Below are 22,349 nucleotides of genomic sequence, written 5' to 3' on the forward strand. Positions count from 1 at the left end.
TTATGACTCAGGACTACAACATCAACTTTTTACCTGAATTTTCAGCCTGCCGTATAGATTTCAAACTTGCCGGTTCCCATAATTGCATGATCTCATTCCCTAAAATAAATCTGTGTGTGTGTGTGTGTGTGTGTGTGTGTGTGTGTGTGAGTGTTTATGTATGTGTGTGTATAATTTCCATCCTGGTTGTTATTAAGTACAATATTGATTGCAAATTTATGACAGGATTTAGGTCCATGGAAAAAGCCTTATAAATTGCATTTTTATGTAATCACGATGATAGAATAACACTGCAAAAATTTATAAGATGGTAATTTCTGCAGCAAAACAACTTAAAGAACCTCATGTATCTTGCTAGTAGTTATACATTCTAACCATGTGATAATTTTATTTTATAATCGGTATTTTGTTGGCTCTGGACACAATGAATTGCTGTAAGATTTTACCTGCAAAGTTTCAGTTTCTGGGAATGTCTCACATAGGTTCAGTGTTAAATGTTAGATATTCTCTAACCTGAGCAGGCATTTGAGGTTGGAGTCTCTATTCTGTCACTACTGCTACTATCCACTGGGCCCAACAATGCCTCTGCTAAGGCTGCTGTAGATGCTTCCAAGCTTGCAGACTTACAAGGTGCTAATTTGCCATTCTGGTCTCTTGTTTCCTCAATGTGCTGAAGCCTTGAAGCCATTTTTGGTTTGTCAAGAAGTATACAAAATATTTCTTTTCCTCACTTGAGTTAACACTTTGCTACCTGGAAAAACATGTAGTACTCCTTGTACCCTCTTTTCTCACAGTTTCTAGTAGAAATGTCCCATTTAGCTTAGCCAGCAGCTCACTCTTACCATAAGGCTCAGAGAAGAAAGGATACATCTGAGACAAGTGTCATCATGCTGTTTTCTGTTCTGCATTCTCCCCACATTCCTTCTTTTTAAATGAAATTCTGGGTTTTAATATAAACACATTCAGGTTATCCTACTATCTGTATATAATATAGTTTTAGGGTATGTTAATTTCTGAAGTACATGTATTTTAAGAAAATATATTTAATAATTTCCAAATAAGTGCTTTTACTTTGAAGTATGTATGAAATACAGAAATTCATCATATATTATATAATGCTATTTGAAAGATATAAGATAACAACTTTATATAAATTAAAATCTGCTGATCATTGGAATTATCAAGAGGTAAAGAAGAAATTGGCAAGACTTTAAAAAAATTTTTGTTTGTCCAATGTAATCTAAAATGGCATAGATATTACAGAACTATCCACACTATAGTAGTCATGCAAAACTAGAATGTTATAAATGGACCACAAATATTGACATATTCCTGGAAAAAAATTCAAAAAACATCAGTTATAAGTGGAAGAGAACTAAAGCTAGAAAAATCACAGCTCAAGGCATTTACAGTAAGAGACTACTGGAACATTAGGACCATTCCAGAAATTCCTAAACATTGAAGCAGCAGATAAATGAAGCAGGAAATGCTTAGGATCACAAATAGAAGGTGGCATGGATATGGGAGTTCCTCTGCTGCCATGGCTCCTCCCACCTACCTTCTTGTTGAGCTGTGGGCAGTAATATTTTTACCAAACCAAATCATTGAGTGTGGGAACTGGGGCTTAAACACAGGCAATGTCTAGTGTAGAAACATATATTCACAAGTAATGGAAAGCCTCTATAAGCAGAAGACAAAATGCCTGCCGAGGACCCCAGGAATCTCTCATACGACCCCTTAACATGACCAGTGTAGCCTAAAGTGCCAAATCTGGGAAATAAGATATTTCAAATCTTAATGATACACAGACAATCAAGAATCACAAAACTTTTGAGAAAGACAAGCAGCATGAAGAGAAGCAACTGACTCAACTAAGAACACTAACATATAAGCAACAAAAAAAATTAAGCTGAACGCTCTCTGAAAAGTTGAGGAAAATATGGCATCTATGAAAATAAATAAAGAATTTTTAAAGTAACAATTTTATGATCATGGAAAATATCCCAATAAAATAACTGTATAACTTGATTGCCCAATCTTCAGTGACTTGGAAAATTGGAACAGAGGATTCTCCCTGAAATTACTGCAAAATTATAAGACTAGTAAATACAAAAGAGATAGTTTAAAAATTGAGTATTTACCCTAAAATTCCAGTATTTATTTGACAGAATAACAGAAGGAAAAATAAGAATGAGTAAAGGGGAAGAAAAGCAAATAGAAAAAGAACTGCTAATATTTAAGAAATATAAACTTTCAGATGAAAATGCTCACTAAATAACAGGAAGAATGAACAACTATTTATATCTAGATGGATTTTAGTGAATTTTCAACACCAATGATAAAATTAAAATTATTAAAGATGACAACAAATTCCAAAGAGACCTACAAACCAAAATCAGAAATGCTTCTACCTTTTTTTATTTGTAAGATCCAGTGCTTCTAGACAATAGAACAATGTTGAGAAAGGTTTAAAGGAAAAAAACAATTTGAATTTAGAATCTGTTGATAAAAAAACAAACTCTGTAAAATATTTAAAGAGGCTTATTTTAAGCCAAATATGAGTAACCATGACCTGGGGTATAATCTCAAGCAGTCCTGAGAACATGTGGCTGAGATGGTTGGGGTATGGTGTGGTTACGTATCTTAGAGAGAAAGAAGCTATAGGCAAAGACATAAATCAATACATGTAAAGTATAGATAGCCCAGAAAGGTGAGATACCTGGAAGCTGGAGGTGGGAGTGAGTTACAGGTCATAGGTGGATCCAAAGATTTTCTGATTGGCTATTTGGTTGAAAAGAGTTAAGCTTTGCCTAGAGTTGAAGTCAGCAGAAAGAAATGCTTGAGGAAGGAATAGTATTGAATCTGCATATTGCTTTGGACAGTGTGGCAATTTTAATGTTATTGATTCTTCTAGTCCATGAGCATGGAACGTTTTTCTATTTATTTTTGTTATTTGTGATTTCTTTAAAGGACACATGCACCTGTCTGTTCATCACAGTGCTATTCACAATAGCCAAAACATGGAAACAACCTAAGTGCCCATCAACAGTGGATTGGATAAAGAACATGTGATACATATACACAAAATCATGTCTTTTACAGCAACATGGATACAGCTGGAGGCCTTAACTAATTGAATTAATGCAGAAACAGAAAACCCAGATACTTTTGGTGTCACTTATAGGTTAGAGCTAACATGCAGTACACATAAACATAAAGATGAGACAATAGGCATGAGGAGTACTACAGCAGAGAGAGAGGGATGGGGCCAAGGGCTGAAGAACTACCTATTGGGTACTATGCTGAATACCAGGGAAACTGATTCAGTCATATCCAAAACCTCAGCACCATGCAATATACCTCTGTAATAATCCTTCACATGTAACCCCTGATTCTAAAATAAAAGTTGAAAAAACAAATAAAAAGAAACACTTGAGTTAAGATAAGGGGAGTTGTAGAAGCCAAGGTTCTTGTTAAGAGGATGAAGCCTCCAAGTAGCAGGCTGCAGAGAGAGTAGTTGGTAAATCTCTCTCTTCCGACCTTAAAAAGATCCAGAAAAGACCTACAAAGGGAAGGAGATTCTCTAGAGAATGCAAAATTCCTCCACACAAGACAATCTTGCAAAGTCATATCAAAATATGTCAAATGAATATATTTTGGAGTAAAATACTTTGATTTCTCTCAGGAACCACTGTCTGTCTTGTGGTACTATACCAGAATCAGGTTGGAATTAGTTATCTTATTGCAACAAAGAATCTGTTTTGTCCATCTTATGCACTCTATTTTAATGTTATTGCTGGTCAGTTGTGCCTAAACTCCAAAGGGAGGGGGTGTAAGGGCATGTCCAACCTCCCTTCCCATCATCACCTGAACTAGTTTTTCAGGTTTCTTTGGGATCCCCTTGGCCAAGGAAGTGGTCAGTTCAGATGGTTGGGAGGCTTAGAATTTTGTTTTTGGTTTATAAATCCTATTCAGAGCCACTCAGTGTGATAAAAAACAAAACTATTTTCAGATGTGCATAGAATCAGAAAGGTTATTACATCTGATATTCTCCTAAGAATAACTTAGGAGATGCTTTAAATGAAATAAAAAATGAATTAAAGAAAAATAAAGATTGAGAATCAAGAGAGCAGAGCAAAGAAAGAACCACATAAAATAAATTAATTCCAAATGAATGTTAATAATTCTTATTAAAAATAATAAGGGAGGTAATTGTATAATTATGTCTTCTGATTTATTAACATGGTAAAAAACATTGACAAATAGCTTTAATTATTAGTCTTTTTTCTTTTGAGTTTCTGTAATGTCAGTACTTAAGCACTGGATCTTCCACTGGTGTAGGGGAATTACAATTAAAAGCAAAATCTCTTCCCAACTCAGAAAAGCTTTCCACAATGGCATAAGAGAAATAAAATAATTTTATTATTGAATTAGCATTGAATTAGAGTGTGAGGTGCAGCACAGGTAATCTAAGAGGATTTCAGATATAATAAAATATCACCCTTTTATATAGATAAGCCGATAGAACCAATAACAGACATGTTCTCAAGAAAACAGCTAGTTTTGAAGTATGAGGACTGGACTGCACTATTGGCCATGCCCAGTTTATCCAGTTGTCACCTGGTAATTTGCATGGCTGTCGGTGTTAATTGGCTTTATCCAAAATAAAAATAAAAGGCTCAAATCTTTATGACTAAAAGTAGTTATGCACCAAGGTGTCTGCAAAAAATTTGGCTGTTGTTCTCCCCACAAAATGGAATAGTGTCCTTTTTGATGATTATATGTCAAAGAGATGGCTTTCTGGTTTTTGAGAAATCCATGCATGGGTTGTAAAGGTGGTAATTTTTATTTGTCCAATTATTTATTTAGCAGTTTAAAATATTTACATCATTTCAAGGGGACAAAGAAAGAACTGACACATTATTTAAAGTGAATGCTCTAAGACAAGGAAAGGGGGAAGGAGGAAGTCTCTTCTCTTATTTTCAATAGGGAAAATTAAGACTCTTATTTCTAATTTGTGTTTGCCCTTATAGGGCATATTTTAGCTAGACTTCATAGGTTCTAATACACATTTGTTTTAGTATCATCACTTTCTTAATTTTTATGGATACATAATACTTATACATATTCATGGGGTGCATGTGACATTTTGAGAAAAGCATGCAATGTGTAATAATCAAGTCTGAATAATTGGGATATCTATTATCTCAAACATTTATTTTTTTATTTGTAAACATTCCAAATCTACCTATCAAGCAATTTTGAGATACAATAAATTATTATTAACTATAGTCATCCTACTGTGCTACCAAACACTACATCTTATTTCTTCTATCTGACTGTATTTTTGTGCCCATTAATTAACAACTCTTACTCTCCTTCTCCCCACTTCCCTTCCCACACTCTAGTAACCATGATTTTATTTACTACCTTCATGAGATTAATTTTTTGTAGCTCCCATTTATATGTGAGAACATGTGACATTTTTCTTTCTATGCCTGGCTTATTTCACTTAACCTAATGTCCTCTGGTTCAGTCTGTGTTATTACAAATGACAGGATTTTATTCTTATGGTGGAATAATATTCCATCATGTATCTATAACACGTTTTCTTTATCTATGCATCCCTTGATGGGCATTTCCCACAGCTAGCATCATACTGAATGGAGAAAATCTGAGTCTTTCCTCTAAAATCTGGAACAAGACAAGGATGCCCACTTTTACCACTTTTATTCAATGTCGTACTGGAAATATTATCCAGAGCAATTAGACATGAGAAAGAAATAAAAGACATCTAAATAAGAAAGAAAGAAGTCAAAATGTCCTTGTTTTCAGACAATATGATCTTATATTTAGAAAAATCTAAAGATTAATGAATGATTGGCACTGATAAATGAATTAAGTAAAGCTACAGGATACAAAATCAACACACAAAACTTGGAAGAATTTCTATATGCAAACAGCGAACAATCTGAAAAAGAAATGAAGAAAGCAATGCACTTACAAAAAATAAGATAAAATGCCAAGGAATAAATATAACCAAAGAAGCAATAGATCTCTTCAATCAAAACTATAAAAAATTGATGAAAGAAATTGAAGAAGACATAAAAAATATGGAAAGAAACCCCATGTTCATAAATAGAAGAGCCAATATTGTTAAAATGTCCACACCACCCAAACTGATTTATAGATTCAATACAATTCCTATTAAAATACCAACAAAATTTCTCACAGAAATAGGAAAAATCTTAAAATTTATAAGAATCACAGAAGACTCAAAATAGCCAAAGTAACACTGAACAAAAAGTATAAAATTGGAAACATTACATTACCTGACTTCAAATTATACTACAAACCCAAAATAGAATGATTCTGGCATAAAAACAGACATGTAGACAAATGGAATAGAATATAGAACCCAGAAATAAATCTACACATTTATAATCAACACATTTTCAACAAAGGTGCCAAGAACATACACTCAGGAAAGGGTAGTCTTCAACAAATTGTTCTGGAAAAACTGGATATCCGTATGCAGAAGAATGAAACTAGACCCCTATATTTAACCATATATAAATATAAAATAAAATGGATTAAAGACTTAAATATAAGACCTGAAACAATAAAACTACTGGAAGAAAACATTGATAAATGCTTCAGGACGTTGTTCTGGGCAAAGATTTCTTGACTAAGACCTCAAAAGCACAAACGCCTGAATTAAAAATGGACAATTGGTATCACACCAAGCTAAAAAGCTTTTGCACAGCAAAGAAAACAATCAAGGTGAAGAGGCAATGTACAGGATGGAAGAAAATATCTGCAAAATATCTGGCAAGGGATTAATAACCAGAATGCATAAATAACTCAAAAAACTGAATAGTAGAAAAATAAATAATCTGATTTTTAAATGAACAAAATAAACTGAATAGTCATTTCTCAAAAGAAGACATATACATGGGTAATTGGCATATGAAAAAAATGCTCAACATCATTAATCACAAGTGAAATCCAAATCAAAATTACCTTGAGATATTATCCTACCCTGGTTAAAAATGGCTTTTATCCTAAAGATAGGCAATAACAAATGCTGGGGAGAGTGTGGAGAAAAGAAAACCCGGGTACAATGTTGGTAGGGACGTAAATTAATACAGCCACCATGGAAAACAGGAGGTTTCTCAAAACACTAAAAACAGAGCTACCATATGATCCAGGGATCCCACTTCTGGGTGAATATGTAAGCAAGAAATTTAGTATATCAGAGATATCTGCATTCTTGTGTTTATGGTTCATTGTTTTCTATATTCTTTCCATTTTTATTTTCCCTTCGAATTAAGCATTATTTCAGAAATAAGCTTGATTATTAACTAATATTATAGCATATATAAATATAACTTCTTTGTTTTTCTTTATTTGATTTGTTTAAGTTCCTTATAGATTCTGGATATTAGCCCTTTGTCAGATGCATAGTTTGCAAATGTTTTCTCCCATTCTGTAGGTTCCCTGTTTACTCTGTTGATAGTTTCTTTCACTGTGCAGCTCTTTAGTTTAATTAGGTCCCAATTGTCAATTTTTGTTTTTGTTCCATTAGCTTTTAAGGACTTAAAAATTCTTTGCCAAGATTGATGTCCCAAACAGTATTTCCTAGGTTTTCCTCCAGGACTTTTACAGTTTGGCATCTTACATTTAAAAGTCTTTAGTCCATCTTGAGTTAATTTTTATATATGGTGAGAGGTAAGGGCTCAGTTTCATTCTTTTGCATATGGCTAGCCAGTTTTCCCAGCGCTACTTATTAAGTAGGGTATTCTTTTCCCACTGTTTGTTTTTGTCAAATTTGTTGAAAATCTGTTGGTGGCAGATGTGTGGTTTTACTTCAGGGGTCTCTATTTTGTTACTTTGGTCTATGTATCTATTTTTGTATGACTAGCTTATTTTACTTAACATAATATCCTCTACGTTAATCCATGTTGTCACAAATGACAGGATTTTCTTCTTTCTTGAAGCTCAGTAGTATCCTTTTGTGTATATGTACCATATTTTCTTTATGCATTCATCCACTGATGGACAAAAGTCACAAGCAATATGACAAAATATTAATATTTGTTAATTATAGTTTTGGCATTGCACGTGTTCATAGTACATGAGTTACTATATTCTTGAAAGTTTAAAACTTCTACCACATTTAAAAAATAGTGGATGATGTAATAATGTAACTGGAGATATTTGGTTGTGATGGGCAGCAGAAAAAAATAAGTAGAGATTGAGGCGGGATGTGGAGTTAGAGGAAAAACACTATAGAATACTATTTCCTAGCGCATGTTTACATGACTATGGAAACACTCAATAAAAAGGAAGACAGTAATGACTGAGAAAGAGAGAAAGAAATGATGCAAATCTTAAAGAACCCAAAGAGTAAAGTCCTTGAGAGGGCAAGAGGGAAGAGATGATGTTAATATAGTAAGAACTCAGTAAATGTAGCTGAACGAATGAGTAAATGAACCAATAAATGACCTTCAGCATCCCTTTGGCTTCTTATATTTAATTACCTTTTCAACTCTCCAAAACAATTAAAAACTTGGATCACTTTCCTCATGTTTATAAGTTCCTTACATTATCTCTCTCTTTTTTTTTAAGCAGAAAATATCCTCTACTACTTGTAAAAGACAGTAAAGACCATAAAGTTTATTTTCTGCCATTGGTATATATATTTTACTAAGCACTCAGATTCCAGATGCTGTTTTAGGCAGTGCAGAAACTGCAGTAAGAAATGCAGACAAACAACTATACACTGTATTATTTGGTGATGAAAACTTATATCAAGAAAATCAGACAGGGTTAAGAGATAGGGAGTAATGAAACATTATTAAGAGTGTTTAAAAAAACATTCTTTAAAGGGTGACATTTGAACAATCTTGAATGAAATGACAGAGGGCATGCCATTTTTCTGGGACATTAAGTAATTTCTTCTTAAAAGCATGAAAGTCCATTTCAGTCTTTGTATGTCTGTGAAAGAATAAGGTTATTAGATCTCAGGGCTTTTACAAAATTTGTATTTTATTTTAGATCTGGTATATATGTGCAGGACATGCAGGTTTAATTACATAAGTAAACATGTGCCATGGGGTGGTTTGCTGCACCTATCAACTCATCACCTATGTATTAAGCCCAGCATGCATTAGCTCTTTTCCCTAATGCTCTCCCCACCTTGTTTGCTGCACCTATCAACCTGTCACCTAGGTATTAAACCCAGCATGCATTAGCTATTTTCCCTAATGCTGTCACCACATTGTCCTCCCCCAACAGCCCCCAGTGAGTGTTGTTACCCTCCCTGTGTCCATGTGTTCTCATTGTTCAGCTCCTGCTTATGAGTGAGAACATGTCATGTTTGATTTTCTGTTCCTGTGTTACTTTACTGAGGATAATGACTTCCAGCTTCATCCATGTCCCTGCAAAGGATATGATCTCATTCCTTTCTATAACTGCATAGTATTCCATGGTATTTATGTACCACATTTTCTTTATCTGTTTTATCATTGATGGGCATTTGGGTTGATTCCATGTTGTTGCTATTGTGAATAGTGCTGCAATAAAATAAAAACACATGCATGTATCTTTATATAATAGAATGATTTATATTCCTTTGGGTATATACCCAATAATGGGATTTCTGGGTCAAATGGTATTTCTTGTTCCAGGTCCTTGAGGAATCAACACACTGTCTTCCACAATGATTGAACTAATTTGCATTCCCCCCAACAGTGTAAAAGTGTTCCTGTTTCTTCACAGTCTCACCAGCATCTGTTGTTTCTTGACTTTTTAATAATTGCCATTCTGACTGGCATGAGATGGTATCTCATTGTGGTTTTAATTTGCATTTCTGTAATGATCAGTGATGTTGAGCTTTTTTTCATATATTAGTTGGCCTCATAAATGTCTTCTTTTGAGAAGTGTCTGTTCATGTCCTTTGCTCACTTTTTGATAGGGTTTTTTTTTTTTTTTTTGTAAATGTGTTTATGTTTCTTGTAGATTCTGGATGTTAGATCTTTGTCAGATGGTTAGATTGCAACTGTTTTCTCCCATTCCGTTGATTGCCTGTTCACTCTGATGATAGATTCTTTTGCTGTGCCAAAGCTCTTTAGTTCAATTAGGTTCCATTTGTCAACTTTTGCTTTTGTTTCAATTGCTTTTGATGTTTTGGTCATGAAATCTTTTCCCTTGCCTATATTCTGAATGGTATTGCCTAGGTTTTCTTCTAGAGTTGTTATATTTTGAGGCTTTACATTTAAGTCTTTAATCCCTCTTGAGTTAATTTTTGTGTAAGATGTAAGGAAGGGGTCCAGTTTCAATTTTCTGCATATGGCTAACCAGTTTTCACAGAGCCATTTATTGAGTAGAGAATCCTTTTCCTATTACTTGTTTTTGTCAGGTTTGTCAAAGATCGGATGGTTGTAGATGTGTGGTATTATTTCTGAGGTCTCTTTTCTGTTTCATTGGTCTGTGTCTGTTTTGGTACCAGTACCATGTTGTTTTGGTTACTGTAGCCTTGTAGTATAGTTTGAAGTTGGGTAGCATGATGCCTCAAGCTTTGTTATTTTTTGCTTAGGATTATCTTGGCAATGCAGGCTCTTTTTTGGTTCCATATAAAATTTAAAGTAGGTTTTTTCTAATTCTGCAAAAAAAGTCACTGGTAGCTTGATAGGAATAGCATTGAATGTATTAATTACTTTAGGCAGAATGGCCATTTTCACAATATTGATTCTTCATATCCATGAGCATGGAATGTTTTTCCATTTGTTTGTGTCCTCTCTTATTACTGTGAGCAGCAGTTTGTAGTTCTCCTTGAAGAGGTTCTTCACATCCCTTGTTAGCTGTATTCCTAGGTATTTTATTTTTTGTAGCAATTGTGAATGGGAGTTCTTAGAAACCTACAAAGTGGCTTAGATCACCACACACTAATAGTGAGAGAATTTAACACCCCATTGTCAATATTAGACAGATCATCAAGACAGAAAATTAATACAGTTAGTCAGGACTTGAGCTCAGCTCTGGATCAGGTGGACCTGATAGATATCTACAGAATTATCCACCCCTAAACAACAGAATATACAGTCTTTACAGTGCCATATGACACTTACTCTAAAATTGATCACATAATTGGAAGTAAAACACTCCTCAGAAAATGCAAAAGAACTGAAATAATAACAAACAGTCTCTCAGACCACAGTGCAATCAAACTGGAACTCAAGATTAAGAAACTCACTCAAAGCCACATAAATACATGGAAATTGAAAAACCTGCACCTGATTGACACCTGGGTAAATAATGGAATTAAGACAGAAATCAAGAAGTTATTTGAAACCAATGAGAACCAAGAGACAATGTACCAGAATCTCTGGAACAAAGCTAAAACAGTGTTAAGAGGGAAATTTATAGCACTAAATGCCCACATATGAAAGCTAGAAAGAGCTCAAACTGACACCCTAACATCACAGCTGAAAGAACTAGAGAAGCAAGAACCAACAAATCCAGAGCTAGCAGAAGACAGAAATAACGAAGATCAGAGTGGAACTGAAAGAGATAGAGACACAAAAAAACCTTCAAAAAATAAATGAATCCAGGACCTGTTTTTTTCCTGAAAAAATTAATTAAATAGATAGACTGCTATCTAGACTAATAAAGAAGAAAAAAGAATCAAATAGGCACAATAAAAATGATAAAGGGGATATCACCACAGACACTGCAGAAACACAAACAACAATCAGAGAATACTATAAATATCTCTATGCAGCTCTTAGTAATAGCATGATAGTCTTAGCTTCTTTGATTGCAAAATTCTTTAAATTGAGAAATATGTGTTTTTAAATACATAATATGTTTACTAAGAGCTACAAGTACAATTATCTGCAGTTTGGCTCCGTAGACAAAGTGAAAAATTTTGAATGAAATACTACATATTTCTTTAGCGTTTTAACATACAAATAAATTCAAATGACTCTTGGAAAAAAAATCTTTATGCAAATAATCTAGAAAACCTAGAAGAAATGGATAAATTCCTGGACACATACACCCTCCCAAGACTAAACCAGGAAGAAATTGAATCCCTGAATAGACCAATATCAAGTTCTGTAATTGAGGCAGTAATAAATAGCCTACCAATGAAAAAAAGCCCAGGACCAGATGAATTTACAGCCGAATTCTATCAGAGATACAAAGAGGAGCCAGTACCATTTCTTCTGAAACTATTCCAAACAATTGAAAAGTAGGGACTTTTCCCTACCTCATTTTATGAGGTCAACATTATCCTGATACTAAAACCTGGCAGAGATACAACAAAAAAAGAAAACTTATGGGTCAATAGGTGCAGCAAACCACCATGGCACACATAGACCTATGTAACAAATTTGCACGTTTTGCGCATGTGTCCTTTTCTTTTTAATTAAGAAGAAATAAAGAAAAGAAAAGAATACTTCATGCCAATATCCCTGATGAACATTGATGTGAAAATCCTGAATAAATACTGCAAACCAAATCCAGCAGCACATCAAAAAGCATATCCACCACAATCAAGTTAGCTTCATCCCTGGGATACAAGGCTGGTTCAACATATGCAAATCAATAAACATAATTCATCACATTACCTGTACTAATGACAAAAACCACATGATTATCTCAGTAGACACAGAGAAGGCCTTTGATAAAATTCAACATCCCTTCATGTTAAAAACTCTTGGTAAACCGGGTATTGATGGAACATATATCAAAACAATAAGAGCCATTTATGACAAACCCACAGCCAATATCATACTGAATGGGCAAAAGCTAGAAGCATTCCCTTTGAAAACCAGCACAGGACAAGGCTGCCGTCTCTCACCACTCCTGTTCAACATAGTAGTGGAAGTTCTGGCCAGGGCAATCAGGCAAGAGAAAGAAATAAAGGGCATTCAAATAGGAAGAGAGGAAGTAAAATTGTCTCTCTTCGCAGATGACATGATTGTATATCAAGGAAATCCCATCATCTGAGCCCAAAATCTGCTTAGGCTGATAAGCAACTTCAGCAAAGTCTTAGGATACTAGATCAATATACAAAAATCACAAGCATTCTTATACACCAACAATAGACAAGCAGAGAGCCAAATCATGAATGAGATCACAGTTATTTTTATCTCACAAACTGTACATGTTTTTTAGCCTTTCTTGTTCTCTGTATTGCAGATACAGTAGAAGGAAATAGTATACCTCTTTTATCTTTTTCAAGGCCTGAAATTGTATTTATTTTTCAATTTAAACACATTGCTGAAGTTGTTTCAAATAGATATTTATCTCTCATATTAAAGGTGCCCAACAAGCTAAGTCATTTTAGTCTGAAGTATTTATTTGGCTCAGGGAAGTGTTCTATTAAAATTTATTTGATTATCTCTTCTCTATTGGTCTTTATATATTAAAGACATCTTGTCTCCTGATCAACAATAAAATTGGCACTTGGGGCGAGGACTCAATTTCATTTAAGATCCTCAGGGGACTTTTCTACCATGAATTCTCTCTTTTTCTCCTTTCTCCAGCCTCTCTACTTGCACTTTGTAATCATTATATACATGTGCTTACAATTTATACAATCATAAATAACCTTTTAATGGTATTTTTATCATTTGCATATAAAAGTCAATAGGGTCAACTCTTCTGTATTTCTTTATCCAATCAATACACCTCATTCTGACTTCTAAAATAGCTTTCTTAAGTTTATCAATAAGTTGCTAGTTACAAACCCCAAATATTTTTAATCATTTTATCATTTGATACCCAGAATATTTGCGAGTTTTGGCCTCTCCTTTTCTCTTGAAACTTTTTTCTTTTACCTCCTGGGAAACCACTAACTTTTGCTTTGTTTCTCCTCCTTTTTTTGTGTTAGATTTGTTTAATTTCCTTTGCAGGGTTATCTTCCTTCACTTTACTCAAAGGTTGGTTTGCCCAGAGTTTCATTTTTGTTTGTTCTCTTTACTTTAAACTTTCCCTATGTAAATATATTTAATTCCATATTTTCAAGTGGAAAATGATTTCTAAATTTATAGCTAATGTAGGGTGACTCTGCTGAGTTTTACCAGCCTCTTAAAATAATTTTGTGTCTAGTTGAAAATAACAGGTAAAAATGGAAATGATTCTCTGCAGTCATTCCCTGCAACTAAACCTGCTTATCCCTTTTTTTCTAAATGTTGGTGACTGGTACTTTTTGGCACCTAGTTTTCTAGTAATCATCTAGGTTCATTCTAGATATTCCTATTTCAACAACCCCAAATCCAAATGATACTAAATTATCCTGAGTTTTACTCAGTTAATAGTATTTAAACCCTTCCATTCTTAATCACATTTCTAATGCCCTGTAGCATTCATGAGGTCAAATCACTGATGATCTGAACACTCCTCAAAGGCCCCTTCTCGCAATACTGGTACAAGGGGATTTTTAGGGAACAAATTCAGACTATAGATCCTTGATATATCTTACTCATTTTTTCCAATAAAGTGTGGAAACATCTTTTCCAAGAAGGCGTGCCTGATATCTAGCTGCTTCCATTTCACATAGTATGATTTGGGTTATCAATAATTACCTTGGGTTTCCGTGGTACCTTGGGGAAACCATTATCAGAGCTTTTGTGGCATGATATTCATTACTATTGATATTTTTTTCTTTGCATTTCTATCTGTGTGTTTCCCTACTAGGTGCTGAACTGTTTAATGAGATGAAAGTGTCTTTTTAAAACAACTTATCTTGAAATAATTTTAGGTTTATAAAAGAATTACAAAAATAGTTCACCCAACTTATTCTCTTCATGTTAACCTGTCTCATAACACAACGTATTTATCAAAACAAATAAGATTTTATTAAGATTTCCCCAGTTGTTTCCCTAATGGCTTTCCACTTTGGATCTCTTAATGGCAAATTAGCCCCCTATTTACTTATCAGATTGTAGCTTTTTCTGTCTGCTAAGACACATTTAAACTAACACACAGTCTTTCAAATATGCTTTCATATTTCCCCTTCAATGTTAATCTTCCTGTTCTGCGTTTCTTTCCTGATTTAGACAATTGTATTTCTGTAAAATATCTAATTTGGATTCCTTGATGGAGGACAAAATTGCCACATGTGACCAATGTATCATGGACAGCTAATACCCCAATTATGTAAGATATTATAAATTAAATATGAGGTTGGTTTGGTGATAAAACAGATAAAAATGGGCTAAGAGCTAACTTGTTACATTTGAGTGAGTTATTAAGAAACAAGAATCTGACAGGATCTGGGAAATGAGATTTTGTTTGTAAAGTTGATTGAAAAAAATTATAAATCACATTGGGAATCCATATGGATAAATCATCTATATATATAGCTCATATATATATCTATATCTATAATCTGCCCATCTATCATGAATCTATTACTAATGCCCCCTTGAAGTTGAGGACATAGAGGAAAGATAACTGAATCTGTTATTCATTTTCATATATAACAGTGAGTAGCAATATAGAAAGCCTTTCTTATTCTATCCCTCATTTGGTAATTATTTTTCTACAAGCAGTATTTAAATCATAAAAGAACAGAGAATAGAAACAGGGCAAGAGAAGCTGCTTTACAAGGGAACCAAAGTACAACAATTTACTGCAAGGGTTGGCAAACTTTTCCTATAGAAGCATAGAAAGTAAATACTTTAGGCTTTGCAGGTTATGTGTGTTATCTGTTGCAATTTTTCAGCCTTGCCATTATAACAGGAAAGCAGCCAGAAGTACCTAAACAGATGGGCATTACTGTGTTCAAATAAAACTTTATTTATAACAACAGGCAGAAGGCTAGATTTGGCCCAAGGTTGGTAGTTTTCTGACTCTTAATTTAGAAAGAACAGATTATATACAAGAAGAAATCATTTCCAAAGTGCACAATAATTTCAGGACAGCAGTCTGGATGCTAGAAGCACTTAAAGTCCAAGTGCTCTGTCACTTAATGCACTATTTGCCATACTCTCTTATAGAAATAAAAACAAACCAGTTATCAATAAGCCACAGACTTCCTGCAACAATTTAAGTGACATTGAGGGATCTTAAAAGCTATAAGGAATATATTTGATATAATGATCTTACTCTTTCAAGGAATGACTTCATCTTGTCCGTTTGTCAATGAGAATATAAAAATGACTAAAATTTGTCCCTATTTTTTCACGATTTATGTTTGTTATCCAGCACTTGACTAGGAAGAAAGGACCAAAGAGAGACAATGTTTTCTCTTATACACATTGTTTGCACATTGCTCGTTAACACCTCCAGGACAGAGCATCACCATGAAATTCTCTATTGAGCAGTAAAGAGAGACAGAGAGAGAGAGAGAGAGAAGAAAAAAGAAACAACAGCCTGGAAGTAGCTTTTGTCTTTCATCACTATTCACTACTGAGATGGTAACTATAGTAAGTGGTAGGTGGTGGCACTAGAGCACTCTAATTTGTGTATGGGATTTGGGACGGAGGAGGAGAAAATATTATATGATAGGGATAAAATTGGCCCTAAAGTCTTTCTTCATCCTGTAATGCATTGAAGATAATAGTACTGTCATAACAAGTTGGTCTTAGATGCTTTGAACAAAATACATAACATGGAAGAAGTAAGTGAACTAGCACTACCTTTAGGGGAAATTCTGCAATTGCCTAAGTATAAAACCATTTCTAAACACTTCTCTGACATTTCTTCTAGTACCAAGACTTTAGCTTATAAAAATAACTAAAAACGTTTGAAATCACACAATCATGTAATTGATGGAATTAATTGTTGATAAACATGAATTATTTCTCAAAATGATGAATCTGGTCATTAACCAATCTTGTATGTTATATTCTGAAGTTCACTCTTCAGTTTTCTATATATAGGATAGTTGTGAAAATTGAGTGGGAGCCTTGGCCACAGAAATGCAAACTGTGAATTGGGTCAAACACTTCAGTGAATGTAACAATATAGACACAATTAGTAACAAAATTTATTTGAAGTGAATATGGGGAAGCCTCTGAAAGAAAAAAATGGTGATAGTTTTTAATAAATTAGTCAAATACTTTAAAATAGGCATAGTTGAATTGAACAACATGTTTTTTTTTGTTTTGTTTTGTTTTGAGTTTTAATAGCTATAAAAGGAGAGAGAGATTGTCATGCTGCCATGAAATGGATATAAACAATTTTCAGCTGAGACTCTGACCAAAAAGTAAGTTTTCCATCAACAAGAATTTAAAACAGTCTTTGATTTATGGCATCCAGCAGAGAATGCAATCACAGATAGCACAGCCAGGAAAAGAACATTCATTATTTTAGAGAGACAAAGAATTGTGGAATTATGCAGCCATTTTCTCTAATAAACATTTTTATCACTTATGGGAGGAAGCTGCTCTCCTTAGTAATAGCAATGATGAGTACTTAAATTAAGGAGAGCTTTAAATTGGTTAAAACAAACACCTACCCTAAGAATAAAGAGTAAATAATAAAAGACTGAAGATAAAGACCACAGTCCATGGTAATCAGAAATGATCAATGAGCCACTTGGGACCTCCCAAAAGAGATCAGCAAATCTGAAATCCAAGTGGTGTTAGAATAAAGACCTTTTGATTGATCATATTTGATTAAAGCTTCCACCAGTTTCTTAGAGAAACATAAAAAATATAAATCAGGAAAACAGAAAAGCTATCAAATAATTATCTTACAAAAAATGAGAAAACAAGAAATATCAACAATAACAAAAAACCTCAGCACACCGAAATAGTTTCACAGAAAAATCCTACCAAAGCTTCAAAGATTAAGTAGATCCAATGTTACATTCTAAATTACAGAAAATGAAGAAAAGCTTTTAAGTAAATTCTATGAAAACAGTATAAAGTTGATCATTAAATAAGATAAGGAAGGCACCAAAAAATCCACCCAATGCATAGATTAATCTGACTGTAAATTAAAAAAAAATTCAGAAAAATTCAAAAGAAAATAACAGCAATCAGAATTCACTGTCCACATTAAGGAAAAAATGCATCTTGCTTAAATGGAATGGATGAGAACAAAATCCCCTGCCAATTGTTCATAAAAATGATTGCTGAAATAGGAATTATTAGATACTTTCATATGTGCACATACACATATATAGTTATTGAATGGCTAGAAAATGGTTTCAGTTTATAATAAAGAGACATGACAACTAAATAACAAGATAGGATACTGAAGTTTTCAGTAAAACTTCAACGACTGTAACTGAGACAATTGGAAAAACTTTGAATAAGGCCTTCATAATAGATGGTAATTTTCTATCAATATTATGTTTGTTGGGTGTGAAAGTTATGTTGGTCTCAGGCTTATGTAGAAAAATAGCATTGTTCTAAGGAGTATATACTGAAATATTTAGGAATAAGTTGTCATAATGATCCAGAAAAAGAAAAAGTCTCTCTCTCTTTATCTACCAATCATTGATTGACCTAGGTGATGATATATGAGCATTAATTGTACTATTCTTCTAGTTTTTTCTGTATGAGTTACATGTTTCCAAAAAAGAGTCTTGGAAAATTGATATATTAATATTTATTTGAATTTTTGTGCATTTCTCTTTGAGATGGGGGGTCTCTCTATGTTGTGTAGGCTGGTCTCGAACTCATGGCCTCAAGTGATTCTCCTGCCTTAGCATCCTGAATAAGCTGGGACTGCAGGCATGCATCACTACAATTGGATTTGTACATTTTAAAGCCATAAAAGGCAATATTCTAAGAAAATTTTAGAAATAACTCTGATAGATAAGCAGCCATAATAACTTTTCCGGGTTGCAGCATGTCTACTCATGCAAACGCTCATCTGTTTCTTAACTCACAGTCTCCAAGACAGCTCTAAGAAATGCTGCATCTTTGGACACTACTTAAAAATAACATTTCCATTCTGTTACACAGTTAAATATGGTAGTGAAACATGAGGTCTTTGTAGATATATTCTCTAGAAAATATTTTTCAAGTGTTAGCATTTGACACTTAAGGGAATGTACTACAAGTTTGGGAAAATAGTCACTTATAAATACCACTATTTATTTGGCATCTAATGTGTGACTAGTACCATCCTCATTAATGTGTGACTAGCACCATCCTCATTATTTTGCATGAATAGCCCATAAATCCAACAATAACCATATATATTTTAATTAAATTTTAAAATAAATTTGGTAGTAAATAACAGAGCCGGGATTCAACCAATATCTGTTTCTTTCAAAATGTTGTTCTTATCAATGCATACATACATATGAAGAAATTTGAAATTTTCCAACATATCGCGATGTAGGGTTATAGAATATAACTTATAATCTAACAAATATACTATACTAATAGGGGATATAATTAAGTTAGGTTATTTCCACTCTATCTAACAAATTTTAATATTCCTTAGGAAAGAACCTGTCTTCTGAGGTTATGCCTGTTGGCAAAAAATCATGACAGAAATGTTTGAATGAGAGGTTCAAGTAGTTTTATAAATGGTCTTCAGCACAGTTAATTTCCCCAAACTAAGATATCAAAACTGAATAGATTCCATTTTTTTTATTTTTCAATTTTCTCTCTCTCTCTCTCTGGGTTTTTTTTTTCTTTTTTCCTTGAGACAGAGTCGCACTGTATCACCCAGGCTGGAGTGCAGTGATGTGATCTCACTGACTGCAACCTCTGCCTCCAGGGTTCAAAAGATTCTCTTGCCTCAGCCTCCGTAGTAGCTGGGATTATAGGCACCTGCCACCTGGCCTGGCTAATTTATATTTTTAGTAGAGATGGGGTTTCACCATGTTGGCCAGGCTGGTCTCAAACTTTTGACCTCAAGTGATCCTCCTGCCTCAGCCTCCCAAAGTGCTTGGATTACAGGCATGAGCCACTGCGCCTGGCTTTTTCTTTTCAATTCTCATACTTTACTGTTATCTTCCAGATTATCACCACCCTCTAAATATTCCAAATTAAGATAGACAGGACAGAAAGTTTTACTGATTTTTGTTCATAAATAAAATTCACTAGACACCACAGTGAATTACATTGACAACACAAAAATATTCACAACTTCTACCCTTATTCTATTTAATATTTATTTAATCTACCACTTCAATAAGTAGGAATTGCAAAGAGTGAAATAACTCTTGTATCCTTTGCTCCCCCTCCCTCTCACACACACAACCTGGATTTCTAGCAAATATAAGCTTCAGTAAATAAATTTGGTAGTACACGACAGAGCCAGTATTAATATTTAGATTGCATTTAGTATTTCAGATTGTTGTTAATTGTATCTTTACTGCTGTTTAAATATTTAGTATTAGTATTTTAGTATTGCCCCTTAGTATTTTAGATTGTTGTTAATTGTATCTTTACTGCTGTTTAATTTGCTGAGAAGAATGAGCTTTTAAAATATATAAATTAGGCTGGTCAGGTTTGTTTTACACGTATTTTATCCAGAGCTAAAGATCATTTTGTTTTCCGCCCTTGCCAACTAAAAGTAGAAAAGTGGTTTCTAAACAACAAAAAAATGGGGGTAATATAACATTCCAAAGAAAGTATCCTTAAAGAGCCTGTGGAGCATCTGAAAAATATCGATCCTAGAAAGCAAATGAAACAGCACATTGATCTTGGAAGAAAAAAAAGGTGGTGAGAACCATGAAAACAGCCAGAGAAAAGTCTTAGCAATAAAGAAGAGCACACCTTACTGACAGACTTGAAGGAAGACTGAAAATGTGAAGGTACAGGAAAATTTTAAGGTGAAATAGAAAGATCATCTTAAAAGTATAAGTCAAGGTCATTAGTGAATAATAATGCATGTGGGTTTTAAGAAAAACACTTCAGTGGGGGAAAGTGATAAACAACAAATTTTAGTTCCAGCTAAGCCTCCAAATAGAGTGAATTTCAGAAATCACTAAATCCCAGGCACTCATCTTTTATACGTGTAAAAAAGAGCAGTGATAGCAACGTTCCAGTCACAGGATTGCTAAAATGACCCATTGGGGAATTTGTGAAGCATGTCTTTGAATTCTTTTCCCAAAGGGATTCTGTCTTAGGCAATATTAGGTTTGGCATCCATTAAACCAAACAATTGCTAAGGTACAAATAGCCAGCATACTTCCTAAAATATGCTGTGTAAGAAAATTAGAGAATCATGGAAAATCCCAAAACTGCACTGAGAACAACAGAATATGGTAAATTCTCTTAATAGAAAATAAAGAAAACTGAATTGAAATTCTCCTCTATATTTTGCATTTTATTCTGTATTTTATGGACTACTCCCTGACCACACACACACACCTCTTATTTAATTCATTAGTCCATAACATAGTCCCAAATCTTTCATGTCATCCCACCTTCACCCTTACCACCAAACAATAACCTAGATTCAGTGAGAAAGTTCTCCTAATTTTACCCATTTATCTCTGAGATTTTCCAGGTCCCAATCCACAAAGCTAATGTCTAGATCAAGCACTCACAATTTCTTGTCTGGACTAGTGTAATTATTCCCTACTTTTTTCCTCCAGCTAAATTCTATATCTCTAATCCATTTTCTGTATTACCAGAACAGTGTTCTTTGCAAACATCACAAACACTTGTTTAAAAACTTTCAGTAGCTCTCAACTTTCTACAGGGTTGTCTCCAGAGAAAAGTATTTATACTGTAGGAGTGACTGAATGATGTGTCAAAAAATCAATTTACTTAAAAACAACATTTTTTATGAAATAAAAGAAAATGGAATAGACCAAATGGAATAGAATAGAAAAGACCTGGGTACCCATTACCCAGTAAGATGTAATATTTTTGTGAGATTTTAATTTTTATGTGTTTAAATTTGAGTAATATAAAATATTTTACTATGACTTGTGTTTAAGAAAAAGCTTCAAGAACACTTCTGTAGATTATATAGATCCCCTCATAATCTTGCTTTTCCTGTATCTATAGCTTAACACCTCAAAGTTTCAGCCATACTTTAGTTGAATAAATAATCTGCACTCTTTCACATCTTGGGACAATCTATATAATTGTCCCCTGCTGAAATGTTTCCCCTTTCACCTCCCTGTCAACTTGGGAAATGCCTACTCAGTTTTCAATATGCAACTCAAATATCATCTGCTTTGTGAACCTTTCAGGAACCCTCCTCCTCATGGTCCCCAGTGCCCTATCTCCAGCTGGCTGTTTTGAATTGGTCTAAAATATTAAGAGTTTGGTGATGCAAAACTATTAGGTTCTTTTCGTTTGATCTCTAACAGCATGAGGTAGAAAACAGATAGATGCATATTTTTTAATAACCTGAAACTAGACTACAAGCAATCTCTCCAAAAACCCTCTCCTTCTGTTTTTTGG

General features: G+C 33.8%; 1 long non-coding RNA gene across 1 annotated transcript in view; it reads left to right on the forward strand.

Moving 5' to 3' along the window:
- Nucleotides 1-22,349, forward strand: part of LOC105375473 (uncharacterized) — a 66,227-nt gene that overhangs the window by 12,978 nt on the left and 30,900 nt on the right. The window contains exons 6-8 of the long non-coding RNA XR_927909.2: nt 15,072-15,171; nt 16,222-16,442; nt 17,139-17,224. This is a non-coding gene — a long non-coding RNA (uncharacterized LOC105375473). The remainder of the gene's footprint in view (nt 1-15,071; nt 15,172-16,221; nt 16,443-17,138; nt 17,225-22,349) is intronic.

This window comes from Homo sapiens, chromosome 7, assembly GCF_000001405.40.
Source record: "Homo sapiens chromosome 7, GRCh38.p14 Primary Assembly".
NCBI classification, from domain to species: Eukaryota; Metazoa; Chordata; class Mammalia; order Primates; family Hominidae; genus Homo; species Homo sapiens.